We start from the raw sequence: 18751 nt of genomic DNA on the forward strand, positions 1-18751 counted from the left end.
TGCCTGGTTCAGAGGTGGCTTCTTAAGCTCCAGCAGAGCTTTCATCCTCCACCACCCTCCCCCCGCAATCATTCTCTGAAAGAAGCGGAAAGGAGAGGCGACCAAAAGCTCCTGGAGGAAGGGATGATACAAATGGGCTGCTTCACTCCACAGCACGCAACCCCGTCCCCCTCCACCAAGCTGTCCAGCTCTGCGGCCGGCGACCGGGCCACCCGTGCCCCAAATTCTCCCATCATCACCTCAAACTGTACCTCCCCCACGCCCTTCCGTCTCCCACAGTCAGAGCCCACCCCACAAAGTCATGTATCCTTCCGCTAAGTTACCCTCTTCCCACGCGTTGTCCACTCCCCCTCCACCACTACTCACGGTCGGTGACTGGGCCCGGCCCTCATGGCTGCTCCTTTGCCGCCCGCCGCCCGCCGCCACCACTTCTCCACTGCCCGGCCCCTCAGTCACCGGCGCAGCTGTGGGGACTACCCGGAGCCGCTCCTGCGCCTGCGCAGCGTGTAGCGCCTGGGCCCTTTCGGGCCGCACGCGCCTGCGCAGCCCCTGCCGGGGGCGTCTTCCTCAGTGCCTGATGGTCTGGACCCCTGGGTCTCTAGTGGACATGGGAGCTGGCCTTGAAGAATTCTGAGGCTTAGAGAATTTGGCGGCTGCCTCAGGGTACGCCTCTGGAGTACCGTGCCTAGGTTACTAAACCCTTGGATCGCGCTTCCCCAAGGAGCCACAGACTTACTGGCTCTTCCAGAATTCTGCATCCTACTTGCACTTAAAGGCCTGAATTCAGGTGCTCTGAGGTGACCACTGATGATAAATTTGGGTCTTTTTTTTTTTTTTTCTGAGTCGAAGTTTCGCTCTTGTTGTCCAGGTTGGAGTGCAATGGCGTGATCTCGGCTCAAACAACCTCCGCCTCCCGGGTTCAAGCGATTCTCCTGCCTCAGCCTCCCGAGTAGCTGGGATTACAGGCATGCACCACCACGCCCAGCTAATTTTGTATTTTTAGTAGAGACGGGGTTTTATCATGTTGGTCAGGCTGGTCTCGAACTCCCGACCTCAGGTGATCCACCCACCTCAGCCTTCTAAAGCGCTGGGATTACAAGCATGAGCCACCGCGCCCAGCCTGGGTCTTTTTTTTTTTTTTTTTTTTTTGAGACGGAGTTTTGCTCTTGTTGCCCAGGCTGGAGTGCAGTGGCGCGATCTCAGCTCACTGCAACCTCCGCCTCCCGGGTTCAAACGATTCTCCTGCCTCAGCCTCCTGACTAGCTGGGATTACAGGCTTGCACCACCACGCCTGGCTAACTTTTGTATTTTTAGTAGAGACGGGGTTTCACCATGTTGGCCAGGCTGGTCTCGAACTCCTGACCTCAGATGATTCGCCCGCCCCGGCCTCCCAAAGTGCTGGGATTACAGGCCTGAGTCACCATGCCTGGTAAAATTTGGGTCTCTTTCAAGATGATCGTGTCTAGAATGTATCGGGGGTAATTATGTAAAGGCAGCTTTGCCATCCTAGAATACGCTACTAGCTAGGAGGTGCAATGAAGTCCTGGGGACCTTGTCAAGGAGGTGACCTCGCCTAGAATGCACTGGGGACACCGCTAAGTTCAGTATGTTTATCAAGCACATGCTGTTTATTGGACAGAAATGTTCTAGGCATCGCGTGTATGCTATTGAGGAATTCGCAGGCAAATAGTCCCCTGCTTTCCAGCTCTCACTGTGAGCCTGGCCCTTTTTCAAACTGGTAAAAGAAAACCACTAAAGTCCAGTGAGGCCCAACTGTCAGTCCCTAGACTACTGTGCTGCTTTGGCATAGCCTGACAAGAGACTAAGCTCAATCGAGTCCTGAGAATTCAACAAAACAGACTTGAAAGCAGCAGGCAAGAGGAGGTACAGGACTAAACTCTCTCCTCATCACCATGGCTCTTTTTTCTCTCTCAACTCCAGCGCTGGTCTCCTCTCTTCAGAGTTTGGACACATAAGGCCCAAGATACAACGTAAGGGGGAAAAAGAGAAGAAAAAAAGACAAGTTGAGTGCTCAATGAGGAATGTTAAAAAAATTTAAATAGGCCAGGTGCAGTGGCTCACGCCTGTAATCCCAGCACTTTGGGAGGCCGAGGCGGGCGGATCATGAGGTCAGGAGATCGAGACCATCCTGGCTAACACGGTGAAACCCCGTCTCACTAAAAATACAAAAAATTAGCCGGGCGTGGTGGCGGGCGCCTGTAGTCCCAGCTACTCAGGAGGCTGAGGCAAGAGAATGGCGTGAACCCGGGAGGCGGAGCTTGCAGTGAGCCGAGATCAAGCCACTGCATTCCAGCCTGGGCGACAGAGCGAGACTCCGTCTCAAAAGAAAAAAAAATTAAAAATAAAGCTGGGCATAGTGACTTATGCTTGTAATCCCAACATTTTGGGAGGCCAGGTTGGGAGGATTGCTTGAGCCCAGGAGTTAGAGACCAGCCTGGGCAACATAGGGAGACTCATCTCTACAAAAAATCTAAAAAATAGTGGCCAGGCAAGATAGCTCATGCCTGTAAACCCAGCACTTTGGGAGGTTAAGGCGGGCGGATCACTTGAAGCCAGGAATTCGAGACCAGCCTGGCCAACACGGTGAAACCCTGTCTCTACTGAAAAAATACAAAAATTATCTGGGCATGGTGGCATGCACCTGTAGTCCCAGCTACTCAGGAGGCTGAGGCAGGAAAATCGCTTGAACCCAGGAACGGAGGTTACAATGAGCCGAGATCGCACCACTGCACTCCAGCCTGGATAACAGAGTGAGACTCCATCTCAATTAAAAAAATAAATAGGGCCGGGCGCGGTGGCTCAGGCCTGTAATCCCAGCACTTTGGGAGGTCGAGGTGGGCGGATCACGAGGTCAGGAAATCGAGACCATCCTGGCTAACACGGTGAAACCTCATCTCTACTAAAAATATAAAAAATTAGCCGGGCATGGTGGCGGGCCCCTGCAGTCCCAGCTACTTGGGAGGCTGAGGCGGGAGAATGGCGTGAAGCCCGGAGGCAGAGCTTGCAGTGAGCCAAGACGGTGCCACTGCACTCCAGCCTGGGGACAGAGCGAGACTCCATCTCAAAAAAAAAAAATACAAAAATACAAAAAAATTGGCTGGGCGTGGTGGTGGGCGCCTGTAGTCCCAGCTACACGGGAGGCCGAGGCAGGAGAATGGCATGAACTGGGAAGCGGAGCTTGCAGTGAGCCGAGATCGCGCCACTGCACTCCAGCCTTGGCGACAGAGCGAGACTCTGTCTCAAAAAAAAAAGGAAAAAAAGAAAAAATAAATAAATAGGCCAGGCACAGTGGGTCACACCTGTAATCCCAGCACTTTGGGAAGCCGAGGTGGGCAGATCATAAGGTCAGGAGATCGAGACCATTCTGGCTAACACGGTGAAACCCCATCTCTACTAAAAATACAAAAAATTAGCCGGGCATGGTGGCGGGTGCCTGTAGTCCCAGCTACTTGGGGGGCTGAGGTGGGACAATCAATTGAACCCGGGAGGTGGAGGTTGTAGTGAGCCAAGATTGCGCCACTGCAATCCAGCCTGGGTGACAGAGCAAGGCTCCATCTCAAAAAGAAAAATAAATAAATAAATAAGGGTTGGGCCTGGTGGCTCACGCCTGTAATCTCAGCACTTTGGGAGGCCAAGGCGGGTGGATCACGAGGTCAGGAGATCGAGACCATCCTGGCTAACACGGTGAAACCCCGTCTCTACTAAAAATACAAAAAATTAGCTGGGCATGGTGGCGGGCGCCTGTAGTCCCAGGTACACAGGAGGCTGAGGCAGGAGAACGGCGTGAACCCAGGAGGTGGAGGTTGCAGTGAGCCGAGACCATGCCACTGCACTCCAGCCTGGGCGACAGAGCAAGACTCCATCTCAAAAAAAAAAAAAAAAATTAGCTGGATGTGGTGGTGCACACCTGTGGTCCCACCTACTTGGGAGGCTGAGGTGGGAGAATCACTTGAACCCAGGAGGCAGAGGTTGCAGTGAGCCTAGACTACACTACACCGCAGCCTAAGGAACCGAGTGAGACTGTGTCTCAAAAAAATTTTTTTAATTAAAAAAAAAATGTTCAGGCCAGGTACGGTGACTCACGCCTGTAATGTCATCACTTTGGGAGGTGGAGTAGGCGGAGTTTGAGACCAAGCTGGGCCACATGGTGAAAACCCGTCTGTACAAAAAAATTACCAAAAAATTAGCCGGGTGTGGTGGCCCGCATCTGTAGTCCCAGCTACTTGGGAGGCTGAAGAGCGAGGATTGCTTGGGTCTGGGAGGCGGAGGTTGCAGTGAGATTCAACCATTGCACTCCAGCCTAGGGGAGCCAGACTCCATCTCAGTAAGAATAAAATTTTCCTCTTAAAAAAGAAAAGAAAATCCTCTATTAACCCCACAGCCCTCTCCTGCTCAATATTGGTCCTCAATATCCAAGGGTTCAGCATCTAGGAATTCAACCATCCGAAGAACAAAAATATCTGGGGAAAGGCCAAACGTGGTGTCTCATGCCTGTAAACTCAGCACTTGGGGAGGCCAAGGCAGAGGACCATTTGAGGCCAGGAGTTCGTGACCAGCCTGGGCAACGTAGTGAGACTCTGTCTCTGCAAAAGATTTAAAAATTAGCGCTGGGCGTGGTGGCTGACGCCTGTAATCCCAGCACTTTGGGAGGCCTAGGTGGGTAGATCACCTAAGGTCAGGAGTTCGAGACCAGCCTGACCAACATGGAGAAACCCCATCTCTACTAAAAATACCAAATTAGCCGGGCATGGTGGAACATGCCTGTGATCCCAGCTACTCGGGAGGCTGAGGCAGGAAAATCGCTTGAACCCCAGAGGCACAGGTTGCAGTGAGCCGAGATAGTGCCATTGCACTCCAGCCTGAACGACAGAGACTCCGTCTCAAAAGAAAAAAAAAAGAAAAAGAAAAAATCTAAAACTTCCGTGACCCCAAGTTACAAGGTGTAACTTTATCTTCCTTACTAAAATAGTGTAGTGGGCCGTGCGTGGTGGTTCATGCCTATAGTCCCAGCACTTTGGGAGGCTGAGGCAGGCGGATCACGAGGTCAGGAGTTCGAGGCCAGTTTGGCCAACATGGAGAAACCCCATCTCTACTAAAAATACAAAAAATTAGCCGGGCATTGTGGCGGAAGCCTGTAATCCCACCTACTCCGGAGGCTAAGGCAGGACTATTGCTTGAATCTGGGAAGTGGAGGTTGCAGTGAGCCGAGATCGTGCCACTGCACTGCAGCCTGGGCGACAGAGAAGGACTCTATCTCAAACATAAATAAATAAATTAATTAAATAAAGAAAAACAAGGCCGGGCGCGGTGGCTCACTCCTGTAATCCCAGCGCTTTGGGAGGCCGATGTGGGCAGATCACGAGGTCAGGAGATCGAGACCATTCTGGCTAACATGGTGAAACCCCGTCTCTACTAAAAATACAAAAAATGAGCCGGGCGCCATGGCGGGCGCCTATAGTCCCAGCTACTCCGGAGGCTGAGGCCGGAGAATGGTGTGAACCCGGGAGGCGGAGCTTGCAGTGAGCCGAGATAGCGCCACTGTACTCCGGCCTGGGCGAAAGAGCGAGACTCCGCCTCAAAAAAAAAAAAAAGAAAAGAAAAGAAAGAAAGAAAACAAAATAGTGTAGTGAAGATGAAGGAGAGAGAAGCAGATGGAGCCTGCGCATGTTGGCTCACATCTGAAATCCCAACACTTTGGAAGGCTGAGGTGGGTGACTTGAACCCTAGAGCGGTGTCTGGCACATAGCAAGTACTCAATAGATTTTTGTTCAGGAGCGAATAAATGACATCTTTCTCTGGGTTGGCTCTCCCCTTCTGGTATCAACATGACTGCAGCAGCTCCAGATATTATGTCTTCTTACATCCAGCTCCAGTGGGAAAGAAGCAAAATTCTCCTTGTACGTTTTATCTCCCTGGGTTATGTGCCCATCTCTAAAACAATCATCATGGGCTAGAGAATGTTATACGCTGATTGAGTTGGTTCCGAGTTGTGTGCTCCTTGCCTGGGGTGAGCCTCATCCAACCACATGGTCTGAGTTTGCAGTAGGGGTGTTTCTATGGATAACTATATTGTATATAATGAATTAATGATTGGCAGGGGAAAAATCCACTATTCTGCCCTTGGTAAGAAATTCAAGTAGGGGCCCGGGCACGGTGGCTCACGCCTGTAATCGCAGCACTTTGGGAGGCTGAGGAAGGTGGATCACGAGGTCAGGAATTCAAGACCAGCCTGGCCAAGGTGGTGAAAGTGTGTCTCTACTAAAAATAAAAAAATTAGCCGGTGTGGTGGTGGCTACCTGTAATCCCAGCTACTTGGGAGGCTGAGGCAGGAGAATCGCTTGAACCAGGGAGGCGGAGGTTGCAGTGAGCCAAGATCGGGCCACTGCACTCTAGCCTGGGCGACAGAGCAAGACTGTCTCAAAGAAAGAAAAAAAGAAATTCAAGTAGGGAAATGGCTCAGAAGACCCGCAGTGGTTCAAATATAGGAATATATGTTGTTGTCATATAGTCTCCAGCAGGGGGCGCCACCTTCCCCTCTCCCCTGGGAGCCAAGAGTCTAGACTGGGCCACCAGCCCATACCCCTAGTCCTGGCAGCACTGATTCCCCACCAGAACTGAGCTCATGTTAAGTGGGGGATGACCCGGCCGGGCGCGGTGGCTTACGCCTATAATCCCAGCACTTTGGGAGGCCGAGGCGGGAGGATCACGAGGTTAGGAGATCGAGACCATCCTGGCTAACATGGTGAAATCTCGTCTCCACTAAAAATACAAAAAATTAGCCGGGCGTGGTGGCGGGCACCTGTAGTCCCAGCTACTGGGGAGGCTGAGGCAGGAGAATGGCGAGAACCCGGGAAGCGGAGCTTGCAGTGAGCCGAGATTGCGCCACTGCACTCCAGCCTGGGAGACAGCGAGACTCCGTCTCAAAAAAAAAAAAAAAAAGTGGGGGATGACCCAAGAAAGCACTGTAATTGACACTTAGCGATTTTCTACTCTTCGGACCCGGGGCCATGGAGCCTTGAGTAGAGTTGTTTTTTTTAAATCAGCATATCAACTTATTTTCTCTTCTACCCCAATTCCTTCCCTGCTATTCTCTACACTCCAGGAACTCACCAGCAGGGAGCAGGCCGCAGCTAATTTTGGTACCACTTAAGGGTTGCCCATTCTGGCCCCCCTTCTACTCTCTCACCCTCAAATCTTTGTATCTGGAGTGTTTTCTTCCAAGAAGCTGCAACACCCAAGGTTGGTAACTCTCATAACCAACCCACACAAGCGCCCACCTCCTCTTTAGGAAGTGGCCAAATTTGGCATTTTTTTCATTACAGCCTGCCATTCCTAGATGTTTTCTACATTAAAGAAGAAGAAAAAAAATCACTGTTTTCTCCTTAACTTCAAGCTACCACTCTCTCCTCTTTCCCTATAAGGGAAGAGAAAACAAAAAGTTGAAATGTAAAAATTCCCCTCCTCACCAGGCGCAGTGGCTCACGCCTGTAATCCCAGCACTTTGGGAGGCCGAGGAGGGCGGATCACCTGAGATTGGGAGTTCGAGACCAGCCTGACCAACATGGAGAAACCCCGTCTCTACTAAAAATACAAAAAATTAGCCAGGCGTGGTGGCGCATGCCTGTAATCCCAACTACTCAGGAGGCTAAGGCAGGAGAATCACTTAGAACCCAGGAGGCAGAGGTTGCAGTGAGCCGAGGTCATGCCATTGCACTCCAACCTGGCCAACAAGAGTGAAACTCTGTCTCAAAAAAAAATTCCCCCTCCTCCCATTATTTAAGCTATTGTCCTATTGTCATCACTCTCTTCTCTGCCCCATAAAGCTGTGAAGCCCTTTGCCTCACTCTTGATAGCATGAGGGGCCAGCGGGCAGGGATTGCGATTTGAATTTCTGAACTGTTTTTCCTTCCACTCTGGGTACTTGCTCAGGCATTGGAGTCTCCTCACCCTTGGCCATATGAGTTTCTTTTTTTTTTTCTTTTTAAGACAGAGTCTTGCTCTGTCGCCCGGGCTGGAGTGCAGTGGTGCGATCTCGGCTCACTGCAAGCCCCGCTTCCTGGGTTCACGCCATTCTCCTGCCTCAGCCTCCCAAGTAGCTGGGACTACAAGTGCCTGACACCACGCCCGGCTTTTTTGTATTTTTAGTAGAGACAGAGTTTCACCGTGTTAGCCAGGATGGTCTCGATCTCCTGACCTTGTGATCCGCCCACCTCGGCCTCCCGAAGTGCTGGGATTAGAGGCTTGAGCCACCGCGCCCGGCCGGCCACATGAGTTTCTTTAGAATCCTTTGGTCAACTGGGACCTTGATTTTGAAACAGTTTAGTCTCGGGTATTTTTGTTCTGTTTGTTCTGTTTGTAGGTTCTGTCTGTTTGCCTATTTTCTTCTGTCTGTCGGTTTTTGTTGTTTTCATCATTGTGGTTCTAGAAACTTCTCGTGTGCAGTGTCTGACCAATTTTGAACAGGTTCTTTCTATAAAAATCAAAAATTGTAAAAAAATGTTCCGCCAGGCATGGCAGCTCACACCTGTAATCCCAACGCTTTGGGAGGCCAAGGTGGGCAAATCACAAGGTTAGGAGTTTGAGACAAGCCTGGCCAATATGGTGAAACCCCGTCTGTACTAAAACTACAAAAATTAGCCGGGCTTGGTGGGGTGCGCCTGTAATCCCACCTACTCAGGAGGCTGAGGCAGAAGAATTGCTTGAACCCAGGAGGTGGAGGTTGCAGTGAGCTGAGATCGCACCGCTGCACTCCAGCCTGGGCGACAGAGGGAGACTCCATCTCAAAACAAAACAAAACAAAACAAAAAAATGTTCCAAGGCTAGGGGCAGTAACTCACACCTGTAATCTCAGCACTTTGGGAGGTCAAAGCAGATGGCTTACTTGAGCCCAGGAGTTCAAGACCAGCCTGGGCCAAGCCAGGCATGGTGGCTCACACCTGTAAGCCCAGCACTTTGGGAGGCCGAGGTGGGTGGATCACCTGAGGTCAGGAGTTCGAGACCAGCCTGGCCAACATGGTGAAACCCCATCTCTACTAAAAATACAAAAAATTAGCCGGGCGTGGTGGCAGAAGACTGTAACCCCACCTACTTGGGAGCCTGAGGCAGGAAAATAGCTTGAACCCGGGAGGCAGAGGTTGCAGTGAGCCAAGATCATGCCATTGCACTCCAGCCTGGGAGTCTCAAACGAACAAACAAACAAACAAAAGACCAACCTGGGCAACATGGTGACAGCCTGTCTCTATAAAAAATACAGAAATTAGGCTAGGTGCAGTGACTCATCCCTGTAATCCCAGCACTTTGGGACGCCAAGGCGGGCAGATCACCGGGTCAGGAGTTTGAGACCAGCCTAGCCAACATGGCGAAACCCTGTCTCTACTAAAAATACAAAAATTAGCCAGTGTGGTGGCGGGCACCTGTAATCCCAGCTACTCGGGAGGCTGAGCCAGGAGAATCACTTGAACCAGGGAGGTGGAGGTTGCAGTGAGCTGAGATCGCACCACTGCACTCCAGCCTGGGCAATGAGAAAGACTCCATCTCAAAAAAAAAAAAAAAACCAAAAACAGAAATTAGCTGGGCGTGGTCAGGCACATCTGTAGTCCCAGCTACCTGGGAGGCTAAAATGGGGGAATCACCTGAGCCCAGGAGGTGGAGGTTGCAGTGCGCCAAAATTAAACCACTACACTCCAGCTCAGACAACAGAGTGAGACTGTGGCTCAAAAAAATTTTTTTTTAATTAAAAAAAGCAACGTGGCCTGGCGCGGTGGCTCACGCCTGCAATCCTAGCACTTTGGGAGGCCAAGGCGGGTGGATCACGAGGTCAGGAGATCGAGACCATCCAGGCTAACACAGTAAAACACCGTCTCTACTAAAAATACAAAAAATTAGCCGGGCATGGTGGTGGGCGCCTGCAGTCTCAGCTACTCGGGAGGCTGAGGCAGGAGAATGGCCTGAACCCGGGAGGCAGAGCCAAGATCGTGCCACTGCACTCCAGCCTGGGCGACAGAGCGAGACTCTGTCTCCAAAAAAAAATGTTCAGGCCAGGTACAGTGACTCACGCCTGTTATCTCAGCACTTTGGGAGATGGAGTAGGCAGAGTTCAAGACCAACCTGGAATACATGGTGAAACCCCATCTGTACAAAAAAATTACCAAAAAATTAGCCGGATGTGGTGGCCCGCATCTGTAGTCCCAGCTACTTGGGAGGCTGAAGAGGGAGGATTGCTTGGGTCTGGGAGGTGGAGGTTGCAGTGAGATTCAACCATTGCACTCCAGCCTAGGGGAGCCAGACTCCATCTCAGTAAGAATAAAATTTTCCTCTTAAAAAAGAAAAGAAAATCCTCTGTTAACCCCACAGCCCTCTCCTGCTCAATACTGGTCCTCAATATCCAAGGGTTCAGCATCCAGGAATTCAACCAACTGAAGAAAAAAATATCTGGGGAAAGGCCAAGCATGGTGTCTCATGCCTGTAAACTCGCACTTGGGGAGGCCAAGGCAGAGGATCACTTGAGGCAAGGAGTTCGTAACCAGCCTGGGCAACATAGTGAGACTCTGTCTCTGCAAAAGATTTAAAAATTAGCACTGGGCGAGGTGGCTGACGCCTGTAATCCCAGCGCATTGGGAGGTTGAGGTGGGCGGATCACCTGAGGTCGGGAGTTCAAGACCAGCCTGACCAACATGGAGAAACCCCGTCTCTACTGAAAATACAAAATTAGCCGGGCATGGTGGTGTATGCCTGTGATCCCAGCTACTCGGGAGGCTGAGGCAGGAAAATCACTTCAACCCGGGAAGTAGAGGTTGCAGTGAGCCAAGATTGCACCATTGCACTGAAGCCTGGGCAACAAGAGTGAAACTCTGTCTCAAAAAAAAAAAAAAAAAAGAATTACTAGGCATGGCAGCGGCAGGTCTGTAGTCACAGCTACTAGCAGGGCTGAGGTGGGAGGAACGCTTGAGACTGGGAGGTCGAGGCTGTAGTGAGCCATGATTGCACCACTGCACTCCAGTCTGGGTGAGAGAGCAAGACCCTGTCTCAAAAAAATAAAAATAAAAGAAAGAATGGGAGAAGAGAAATTGAGGATAGCCAGAATATACAGTGGTGTCTTCCCAGGGAATTTAGATACCATAATTTCCACCCTCCCATCCTATGGATACCAAAATCTGCTGATTCTCTTGTAGTAAGAGATGACTTTAAGTCATCTTAAAGTCTCTAGATTACTTATAATATCTAATACAATGTAAGTGCTATATAAATAGTTGTTATACTGTATTGTGTTGTATTTTTGTTGCTATTGTTATTTTAGAGATGGGGTCCCTGAAATCCCGTGATAGAGATTTCTGTCTGTTTTGTTCACTGATGTATTCCCAGCACAGGACAGAGCTTGCTAGTGGATGCTTTATACATCTTCCTCCATAGTCAGGCATGTTAGCATGTGCCTGTAGTCCTAGCTACTCAAGAGGGCTGAAACTGGAAGATCGCTTGAACCCAAGAGTTTCAGGCTCCAGTGAGCTATGATCATGCCACTGCACTCCAGCCTGGGTGACAGAATGAGCACTGACTCTAAGAACCTTCCTTCCTCAACACCCCCTCTACCAAAGTTTATCTCTGTTTCTTTTTTTTTTTTTTTTTTTTGAGATGGAGTCTCGCTCTATCGCCCAGGCTGGAGTGCAGTGGTGCAATCTCAGCTCACTGCAAGCTCCGCCTCCCAGGTTCACGCCATTCTCCTGCCTCAGCCTCCTGAGTAGCTGGGACTACAGGCGCCCGCCACCACGCCCGGCTAATTTTTTGTATTTTTAGTAGAGACCGGGTTTCACCGTATTAGCCAGGATGGTCTCGATCTCCTGACCTCGTGATCCGCCCGCCTCGGCCTCCCAAAGTGCTGGGATTACAGGCGTGAGCCACCGCGCCCAGCTCTCTGTTTCAAGTGTTTGATTTAGAGGCTACAAAGGATGAAGAGGGCTCAAGGCCTCAAACAGAGCAAGGTAAATGAGTTTCTCCGGCTGCTAGAGCGGTCTAGGAGACCTTAGGTGGCTAAGCCACTTCTTCCTCCTTTGCAAACCCTCTGGTTGTTCTCCATAAAGGAATGACCTCAGATAGTAGACAGTAGCCAAGGCTTACAGGAGGGAAATCCAGACCTGCTCTTCATCCCAAACACCGACCCAAGGACCACTCCTTCCAGGAACCTAGCCTAAAGCAAAGGTGCAGACAGCCCGGGGCCACCGCTGACCTCTAGGGCAAGCCAAATTAAGGCTGGGAGAGGATCCTGCAGGCCAAAGGATGGAAAGGACTAGGAACAAACAACAACAAAACCCTTACGGGGACAGGCGGAACAGTGCCCCCTCCCACTCCCACAACCATTCCTCCCTCGATGGGAGGACGATTTCTGCTATTTGGCCTCATGGGAAATGTAGTCTTTTAGGAGACATGGCCAGAAGGGCCGTTTACAAAACTTTGGCAGAAGAAAAAAATACGTTGTGTATGGGAGTCCAAAACTACCGTCATGCTTGCACAGACTCTAAATACACATTTTCCCCTTTCCTTAGCCTCCACCAGTCTCCAGAGCAATTCCTCCTCCCGCCCACATCCCATGTGTCTCGGCTTTCAATTTGGGCAGACCTACCTCTCTCCTACTCGCTGGTTCGTCAGCCGCTCTGTTCAATCGTAGGAGCGCTCCTGGTCGGTTCCCGCAGTGCCTTGCGGCTGTAATGGCTGCCCCCAGCTGGCGCGGGGCTAGGCTTGTTCAATCGGTGTTAAGAGTCTGGCAGGTGGGCCCTCATGTCGCGAGGGAGCGGGTGATCCCTTTTTCCTCACTCTTAGGCTTCCAACGGAGGTGCGTGTCCTGCGTCGCGGGGTCCGCTTTCTCTGGTCCCCGCTTGGCCTCGGCTTCTCGCAGTAATGGCCAGGGCTCTGCCCTGGACCACTTCCTCGGATTCTCTCAGCCCGACAGTTCGGTGACTCCTTGCGTCCCCGCGGTGTCCATGAACAGAGGTAAAGCGCCCTGATAGGTTTGCTCGGAACTGTCATGTTTTTAGTATTGAAAGGTTTCTGGGGATACTGTCTTTGATTCTATTTTATAGAAAACAATTTTGAGGCCCTGACAGGGAGGAGCAGTGAAAAATCTCTCAGGAGAGAAATAACAGTTTGAGTGGGAGAAGGAAACGATCTGGTCACAACCAGAGACGCTCACTAAAGAGCATGAGATTGAAGGGCCACAAAGTGGAACTATGGCTCTGCACCCCGACATGGGAAGCAAATTTGATCCAGTAAATGCATGTTGGGCCTCATCTTCTTGTTAAGACACAGTTACACCTGGAAAACAGCACACTTTATTCTTCAAACAGTGTCCGGTATTGGAGACTGGACACAAACTGGTCATTGCAAAATGGTGTCATAAGAAGATAATATAAAAAGACTGGGCCCTCTCCCTTCTTGACCCTTAGCCCTTCCTCCCGTCCCTCCTTCAGGAAAAAAAAAAAAAAAGACTGGGAAAGCTTGCAGGGCCTTCATAGCACCCTTAGTAGGGTGAGAGAATGAGAGCTGAGGAAATATCTGGCTTTGTGTAATCCAGCTTGCTTTCATGTACATTCACTTCTCAGGCACAGCTATACATTATAATTACATGCAGTAATTATTAAGTGCCAGGTATTGTGCTGAGTTGTTTTACACAATTGCTAGTCATCAAAAAAATTATAAGCTGGTAAGTAGGTACTGTTAATATCAACTCACTTTTACATATGAGAAAACTAAAGGGCTCAGGGAGTTACTTTATAAATTAATGTAAATTAAGGGCCAAAGTCTCAAAGTCAGCTCTAGGTGACTTCAACCTGGTGCACTAATTTTGTACCCCTGCTCCCTTTGTGGGTGGGCAGGAACAAGCACTTGACAGGAAATCCAGATTCCACTGTGTCTCATGCTTCTTCCCACTTGCACATAGATGAGCAGGATGTCCTCTTGGTCCATCACCCTGATATGCCTGAGAATTCCCGGGTCCTACGAGTGGTCCTCCTGGGAGCCCCGAATGCAGGGAAGTCAACACTCTCCAACCAGCTACTGGGCCGAAAGGTATGCTACACCCTTGACCATCCTACCCTTTACATCTTTTACTTCTTGCCATGCCTTCAAGGATGGTCTTGGAGGGATCTGGGACCTCACTGAGACTCCTTTGTTCCTGGCAGGTGTTCCCTGTTTCCAGGAAGGTGCATACTACTCGCTGCCAAGCTCTGGGGGTCATCACAGAGAAGGAGACCCAGGTGGTGGGTACCTACAAAGGGAGTCCTTGAAACAGGACAGAGGGTGAAGCTAAGAGGGTCTCCCTTACCATCAGCCTTGAAGAAAATGATGGTCACATTCATTTATGTGAGGAAAGGGGGTTTCTTTTCTTTTTCTTTTTTTTTTTTTTTGAGATGGAGTCTCACTCTGTCTCCCAGGCTGGAGTGCAGTGACGCGATCTTGGCTCACTGCAAGCTCCACCTCCCAGGTTGACGCCATTCTCCTGCCTCAGCCTCCTGAGTAGCTGGGACTACAGGCGCCTGCCACCACACCCAGCTAATTTTTTGTATTTTTAGTAGAGATGGGGTCTCACTGTGTTAGCCAGGATGGTCTCGATCTCCTGACCGCGTGATCCGCCTGCCTCAGCATCCCAAAGTGCTGGGATTACAGGTGTGAGCCACTGCGCCTGGCCAGGAAAGGGGGTTTCCTCTTCCTTTAGGCATGGTACAGTTCTGTCTCTACCTTGCCCTCCCCTGACATCTAGTCAGAAAGATTTCATTCTCTCGCTCTCTTTTTTTTTTTTTTTGAGATGGAGTTTCACTCTTGTTGCCCAGGCTGGAGTTCAATGGCATGATCTCAGCTCACTACAACCTCTGCCTCCCGGGTTTAAGCAGTTCTCCTGCCTCAGCCTCCCGAGTAGCTGGGACTACAGGCATGCGCCACCACGCCCGGCTACTTTTGTATTTTTAGTAGAGATGGGGTTTCACCATGTTGGCCAGGCTAGTCTCAAACTCCTGACCTCAGGTGATCCGCCTGCCTTGGCCTCCCAAAGTGCTGGGATTACAGGCATGAGCCACCACGCCCAGCCGATTTCATTCTCTGTTTACTGCTTCCTAATCTTCCTTATATTCACAGTCATCATCTTTCTCCCAGATCCCATCAAAGCAGAATGGTAGAAACCTAAGGTCAGCCTGGGCGCAGTGGCTCACGTCTGTAATCCCAGCACTTTGGGAGGCCAAAGCAGGCGGATCACTTGAGATCAGGAGTTCAAGACCAGCCTGGCCAACATGGTGAAACCCTGTCTCTACTAAAAAAATACAAAAATTAGCCGGGTGTGGTGGTGCACGCCTGTAATCCCAGCTACTCAGGAGGTTGAGGCAGGAGAATTGCTTGAACCCGGGAGGCAGAGGTTGCAGTGAGCTGAGATTGTGCCACTGCACTCCAGCCTGGATGACAGAGTGAGACTCCGTCTCAGAAAAAAACAAAAAACAAACCTAAAGTCAATAATAGTTTGACTGAGAAGGGAGGGCAGGCTCCTGACATCACAGGTAGCCTCTCTCTGACTTCCCAGTCATAATCTTTTCTCCTGGGGTCTGGGTATCTCACTTTCCTGATTTTAGATTCTACTTGACACACCTGGCATTATCAGTCCTGGTAAACAGAAGAGGTAATGGTGGTGGAATTGGGGTGGATTGGCGGGGAGGTACTGAAAGAGGGTGGGGAGATTCCATTATAGGGGCTGGAAAACCCCTTTACCATACCACATCCCTCATCAGAAATGCCTTAGTCATAAGACCTTTCCTGACTGATGTATGTCTGTCCCTCAGGCATCACCTGGAGCTCTCTTTGTTGGAAGATCCATGGAAGAGCATGGAATCTGCTGATCTTGGTTAGGTTCAGGATGGGAACCTTAAGCCCAGTTTACAGGGGTCATGGCCTTTCATTCCTTGGTAGTTTGGGGGGCAAAAGCCAAGCTCATACCATGGAAGTTTTTGTCAGGGCAGGAGGAAGAGTGACCATTTCCTTTTCCTTCTTCCTGCCTTGCCATCTTCTAGTTGTGGTTCTTGTGGATGTCTCAGACAAGTGGACACGGAACCAGCTCAGCCCCCAGTTGCTCAGGTGCTTGACCAAGTACTCCCAGATCCCTAGTGTCCTGGTCATGAACAAGGTGAGCACTACCCACCTGAGGAAGGGGTCTACTTCCCTCCAAGTCCCCTATCTCTGACCACACACCCTTTGCCCATCCCCCATGTCCAGGTAGATTGTTTGAAGCAGAAGTCAGTTCTCCTGGAGCTCACGGCAGCCCTCACTGAAGGTGTGGTCAATGGCAAAAAGCTCAAGATGAGGCAGGCCTTCCACTCACACCCTGGCACCCATTGCCCCAGCCCAGCAGTTAAGGACCCAAACACACAATCTGTGGGAAATCCTCAGAGGATTGGCTGGCCCCACTTCAAGGAGATCTTCATGTTGTCAGCCCTAAGCCAGGAGGACGTGAAAACACTAAAGGTCAGTTAGTCTTGGCCATAGCCTGGCCCTTGGTTTCTACCATATGAAGACAGCCCTCAAATTTCCTCCTGGAAGCAAAAGTGAGGAGAAAAGTCCTGGTTGGGATTAAGATGCCCATCTATTCCCTCTGTTCCCACAGCAATACCTTCTGACACAGGCCCAGCCAGGGCCCTGGGAGTACCACAGTGCAGTCCTCACTAGCCAGACACCAGAAGAGATCTGTGCCAACATTATCCGAGAGAAGCTCCTAGAACACCTGCCCCAGGAGGTGCCTTACAATGTACAGCAGGTACAGAGTGAAGGGTTCTGGGGGCTCTCTATCAGACACACACCTCTACCCAGGTGTATGACTGACTAATCATTTGTCTCCCTGTACAGAAGACAGCAGTGTGGGAGGAAGGACCAGGTGGGGAGCTGGTTATCCAACAGAAGCTTCTGGTGCCCAAAGAATCTTATGTGGTAAGTGAGACTAGGCTCAGAGGAGAGATCAAGACTATGTTAGGCAGGAGTTCTTCCCCCAGCTTGGAGCCCTGAGAGCAGGACCATATCCTTCTCTCTTTTTTTCTTCTTCTTTTCTTTTTTTTGAGACAGTCTCGCTCTGTCACCCAGGCTGGAGTGCAGTGGTGTGATCACAGTTCACTGCAGCCTTGACTTCCCACGCTCAAGCAATCCTCCCGCCTCAGCCCCCTGAGGAGCTGAGACCAGCTGATTATAATTTTCTTTTTTTTTTTTTGAGACAAAGTCTCACTCTGTCATCCAGGCTGGAGTGCAGTGGCGTGATCTCTGCTCACTGCAACCTCCGCCTCCCAGGCTCAAGTGATTCTCCTGCCTCAGCCTCCCGAGAAGCTGGGATTACAGGTGCCCACCACCAAGCCCAGCTAATTTTTGTATTTTTAGTAGAGATGGGGTTTCACCATCTTGGCCAGGCTGGCTTCGAACGCTTGACCTCAAATTGTCCGCCCACCTCAGCCTCCCAAAGTGCCGCCTGACTATCCGCTAATTTAAAAAAATTTTTTTGTAGAGAAGGGGTTTCACCATGTTGCCCAGGCTGGTCTCAAATTCCTGGGCTCAAGCAGTCCATGCACCTTGGCCTCCGAAAGTGCTGGGATTAATATGCGTGAGCCACCACATCTAACCCTCTCTTTTTTTTATTTTTTTATTTTTTTTTTGAGCCAGGTTCTTGCTCTGTCACTCAGGCTGGGGTGCAGAGGCACGATCTCAGCTCACTGCAACCTCTGCCTCCCAGGTTCAAGTGATTCTCCTGCCTCAGCCTCCCAAGTAGCTGAGATTACAGGTGCCCGCCACCATGTCCAGCTAATTTTTTGTGTTTTTAGTAGAGACAGCATTTCACCATGTTGGCCAGGCTGGTCTCGAACTCCTGACCTCAGGTGATCTGCCCGCCTCAGCCTCCCAAAGTGCTGGGATTACAGGCGTGAGCCACTGCGCCCGGCCACCCTCTCTTTTTTTTAAAGAGGGGTCGCACTGTTACCCAGGCTGGACTCAAACTCCTGTGCTCAAAGGATCTTCTCACCTTAGCCCCCCAAGTAGCTGGGACTACAGGCATGTGCCATCATTCCTGGCTTCCTTCTCTTTCACATACCCTCAGAAACTCCTGATTGGTCCGAAGGGCCACGTGATCTCCCAGATAGCACAGGAGGCAGGCCATGACCTCATGGACATCTTCCTCTGCGATGTTGACATCCGCCTCTCTGTGAAGCTCCTCAAGTGACCACCCTCTACTGACCCTCCCAGGGCATTCCAGCTCAAGCTGCTGGCAGGAACTGACCAGTTCTGTCCTTGGCTGGGGACCCTCCAGGCACTGGTGAGAGACATGAACACTGACTGGCCACTAGCTGGCCTGGCCCTGTTGAGTCTGCACAGTCCCTGCCCAGCTGTGTCTTCTGTTGGAAGAAGGAACCTGCCTTAGCTCAGTTTCCAGGTGGTTCCTCTGCCTGGCACCACAGCTACAAAGGTGTAGCTAAGAAGATGGCCCATTGGTGGGAGCAATGTCACCCTGCCTCCAGCTAGCTATGGGCCCAGAGTTTCTCCCTGAGTCGCTGTTGCTAGCAGGGAGATTTCTCTTCCTGCCCTCACTTCTTTCACCTTGAACTTGGATAAGAACTCGTGTCTCCTGAGTGAGGTAGCGCCTCCCATCTGCTCCCCAATTCTTGATCTCTCCCACCCCATCCCTCTCCCCAGTCTTGGATACTAATAAAATATAAGCATTCTGGTTCTCATCTTT

General features: G+C 50.8%; 2 protein-coding genes across 23 annotated transcripts in view, besides 11 other annotated features; one reads left to right on the forward strand and one right to left on the reverse strand.

Annotated features, from left to right (window-relative positions):
- Positions 1-12689, reverse strand: part of FAM222B (family with sequence similarity 222 member B) — a 99025-nt gene extending 86336 nt beyond the window's left edge. For 13 of the 19 annotated variants that reach the window (NM_001288640.2, NM_001077498.3, NM_001288631.2 and 10 more), the window contains exon 1: positions 367-475. The gene's annotated coding sequence lies outside the window, so the exon portion shown is untranslated. Of the gene's footprint in view, positions 1-366; positions 476-12634 lie in introns of those variants that run through there. The other 6 variants (XM_047436371.1, XM_047436381.1, XM_047436376.1 and 3 more) reach the window with 1 other exon arrangement.
- Positions 54-568: an enhancer, noted in NCBI's record as "H3K27ac hESC enhancer chr17:27169387-27169901 (GRCh37/hg19 assembly coordinates)". NCBI's record gives its function as "activates a minimal SCP1, AML or CMV promoter by ChIP-STARR-seq in naive H9 embryonic stem cells {active_cell/tissue: H9 hESC(naive)}" and the evidence as "EXISTENCE:reporter gene assay evidence [ECO:0000049][PMID:30033119]".
- Positions 254-443: a silencer, noted in NCBI's record as "silent region_8356". NCBI's record gives its function as "represses an Ori minimal core promoter by ATAC-STARR-seq in GM12878 lymphoblastoid cells {active_cell/tissue: GM12878}" and the evidence as "EXISTENCE:reporter gene assay evidence [ECO:0000049][PMID:35858748]".
- Positions 6496-6545: a silencer, noted in NCBI's record as "silent region_8357". NCBI's record gives its function as "represses an Ori minimal core promoter by ATAC-STARR-seq in GM12878 lymphoblastoid cells {active_cell/tissue: GM12878}" and the evidence as "EXISTENCE:reporter gene assay evidence [ECO:0000049][PMID:35858748]".
- Positions 11854-12359: an enhancer, noted in NCBI's record as "H3K27ac-H3K4me1 hESC enhancer chr17:27181187-27181692 (GRCh37/hg19 assembly coordinates)". NCBI's record gives its function as "activates a minimal SCP1, AML or CMV promoter by ChIP-STARR-seq in naive H9 embryonic stem cells {active_cell/tissue: H9 hESC(naive)}" and the evidence as "EXISTENCE:reporter gene assay evidence [ECO:0000049][PMID:30033119]".
- Positions 11854-12362: a biological region, named in NCBI's record as "H3K27ac-H3K4me1 hESC enhancer GRCh37_chr17:27181187-27181692".
- Positions 12313-12362: an enhancer, noted in NCBI's record as "active region_11952". NCBI's record gives its function as "activates an Ori minimal core promoter by ATAC-STARR-seq in GM12878 lymphoblastoid cells {active_cell/tissue: GM12878}" and the evidence as "EXISTENCE:reporter gene assay evidence [ECO:0000049][PMID:35858748]".
- Positions 12360-12866: an enhancer, noted in NCBI's record as "H3K27ac hESC enhancer chr17:27181693-27182199 (GRCh37/hg19 assembly coordinates)". NCBI's record gives its function as "activates a minimal SCP1, AML or CMV promoter by ChIP-STARR-seq in naive H9 embryonic stem cells {active_cell/tissue: H9 hESC(naive)}" and the evidence as "EXISTENCE:reporter gene assay evidence [ECO:0000049][PMID:30033119]".
- Positions 12360-13372: a biological region, named in NCBI's record as "H3K27ac hESC enhancers GRCh37_chr17:27181693-27182199 and GRCh37_chr17:27182200-27182705".
- Positions 12663-13012: an enhancer, noted in NCBI's record as "active region_11953". NCBI's record gives its function as "activates an Ori minimal core promoter by ATAC-STARR-seq in GM12878 lymphoblastoid cells {active_cell/tissue: GM12878}" and the evidence as "EXISTENCE:reporter gene assay evidence [ECO:0000049][PMID:35858748]".
- Positions 12701-18746, forward strand: ERAL1 (Era like 12S mitochondrial rRNA chaperone 1). 4 transcript variants are annotated; one of them, NR_134328.2, is made up of 10 exons: positions 12701-13002; positions 13949-14076; positions 14190-14267; positions 15624-15670; positions 15831-15892; positions 16059-16171; positions 16261-16318; positions 16649-16798; positions 16888-16968; positions 18116-18746. NR_134328.2 is itself a non-coding variant. In NM_005702.4 (10 exons), exons 1-10 carry the CDS (start codon positions 12720-12722, stop codon positions 18236-18238), a joined length of 1314 nt encoding a protein of 437 aa, NP_005693.1. In that variant the 5' UTR covers positions 12701-12719; the 3' UTR covers positions 18239-18746. The 4 variants fall into 4 exon arrangements, 3 of the variants coding, with proteins under 3 accessions (NP_005693.1, NP_001304914.1, NP_001304915.1); NM_005702.4 differs by having other exon boundaries at positions 16261-16509; NM_001317985.2 differs by having other exon boundaries at positions 14190-14264; positions 16261-16509.
- Positions 12867-13372: an enhancer, noted in NCBI's record as "H3K27ac hESC enhancer chr17:27182200-27182705 (GRCh37/hg19 assembly coordinates)". NCBI's record gives its function as "activates a minimal SCP1, AML or CMV promoter by ChIP-STARR-seq in naive H9 embryonic stem cells {active_cell/tissue: H9 hESC(naive)}" and the evidence as "EXISTENCE:reporter gene assay evidence [ECO:0000049][PMID:30033119]".
- Positions 15778-16977: an enhancer, noted in NCBI's record as "BRD4-independent group 4 enhancer chr17:27185111-27186310 (GRCh37/hg19 assembly coordinates)". NCBI's record gives its function as "activates an origin of replication core promoter dependent on BRD2, P300/CBP, MED14 and CDK7 cofactors, and independent of BRD4, by STARR-seq in HCT116 cells {active_cell/tissue: HCT116}" and the evidence as "EXISTENCE:reporter gene assay evidence [ECO:0000049][PMID:35650434]".
- Positions 18747-18751: the final 5 nt, after the last annotated feature.

The sequence above is a fragment of the Homo sapiens genome, chromosome 17 (assembly GCF_000001405.40).
Source record: "Homo sapiens chromosome 17, GRCh38.p14 Primary Assembly".
NCBI lineage: Eukaryota > Metazoa > Chordata > Mammalia > Primates > Hominidae > Homo > Homo sapiens.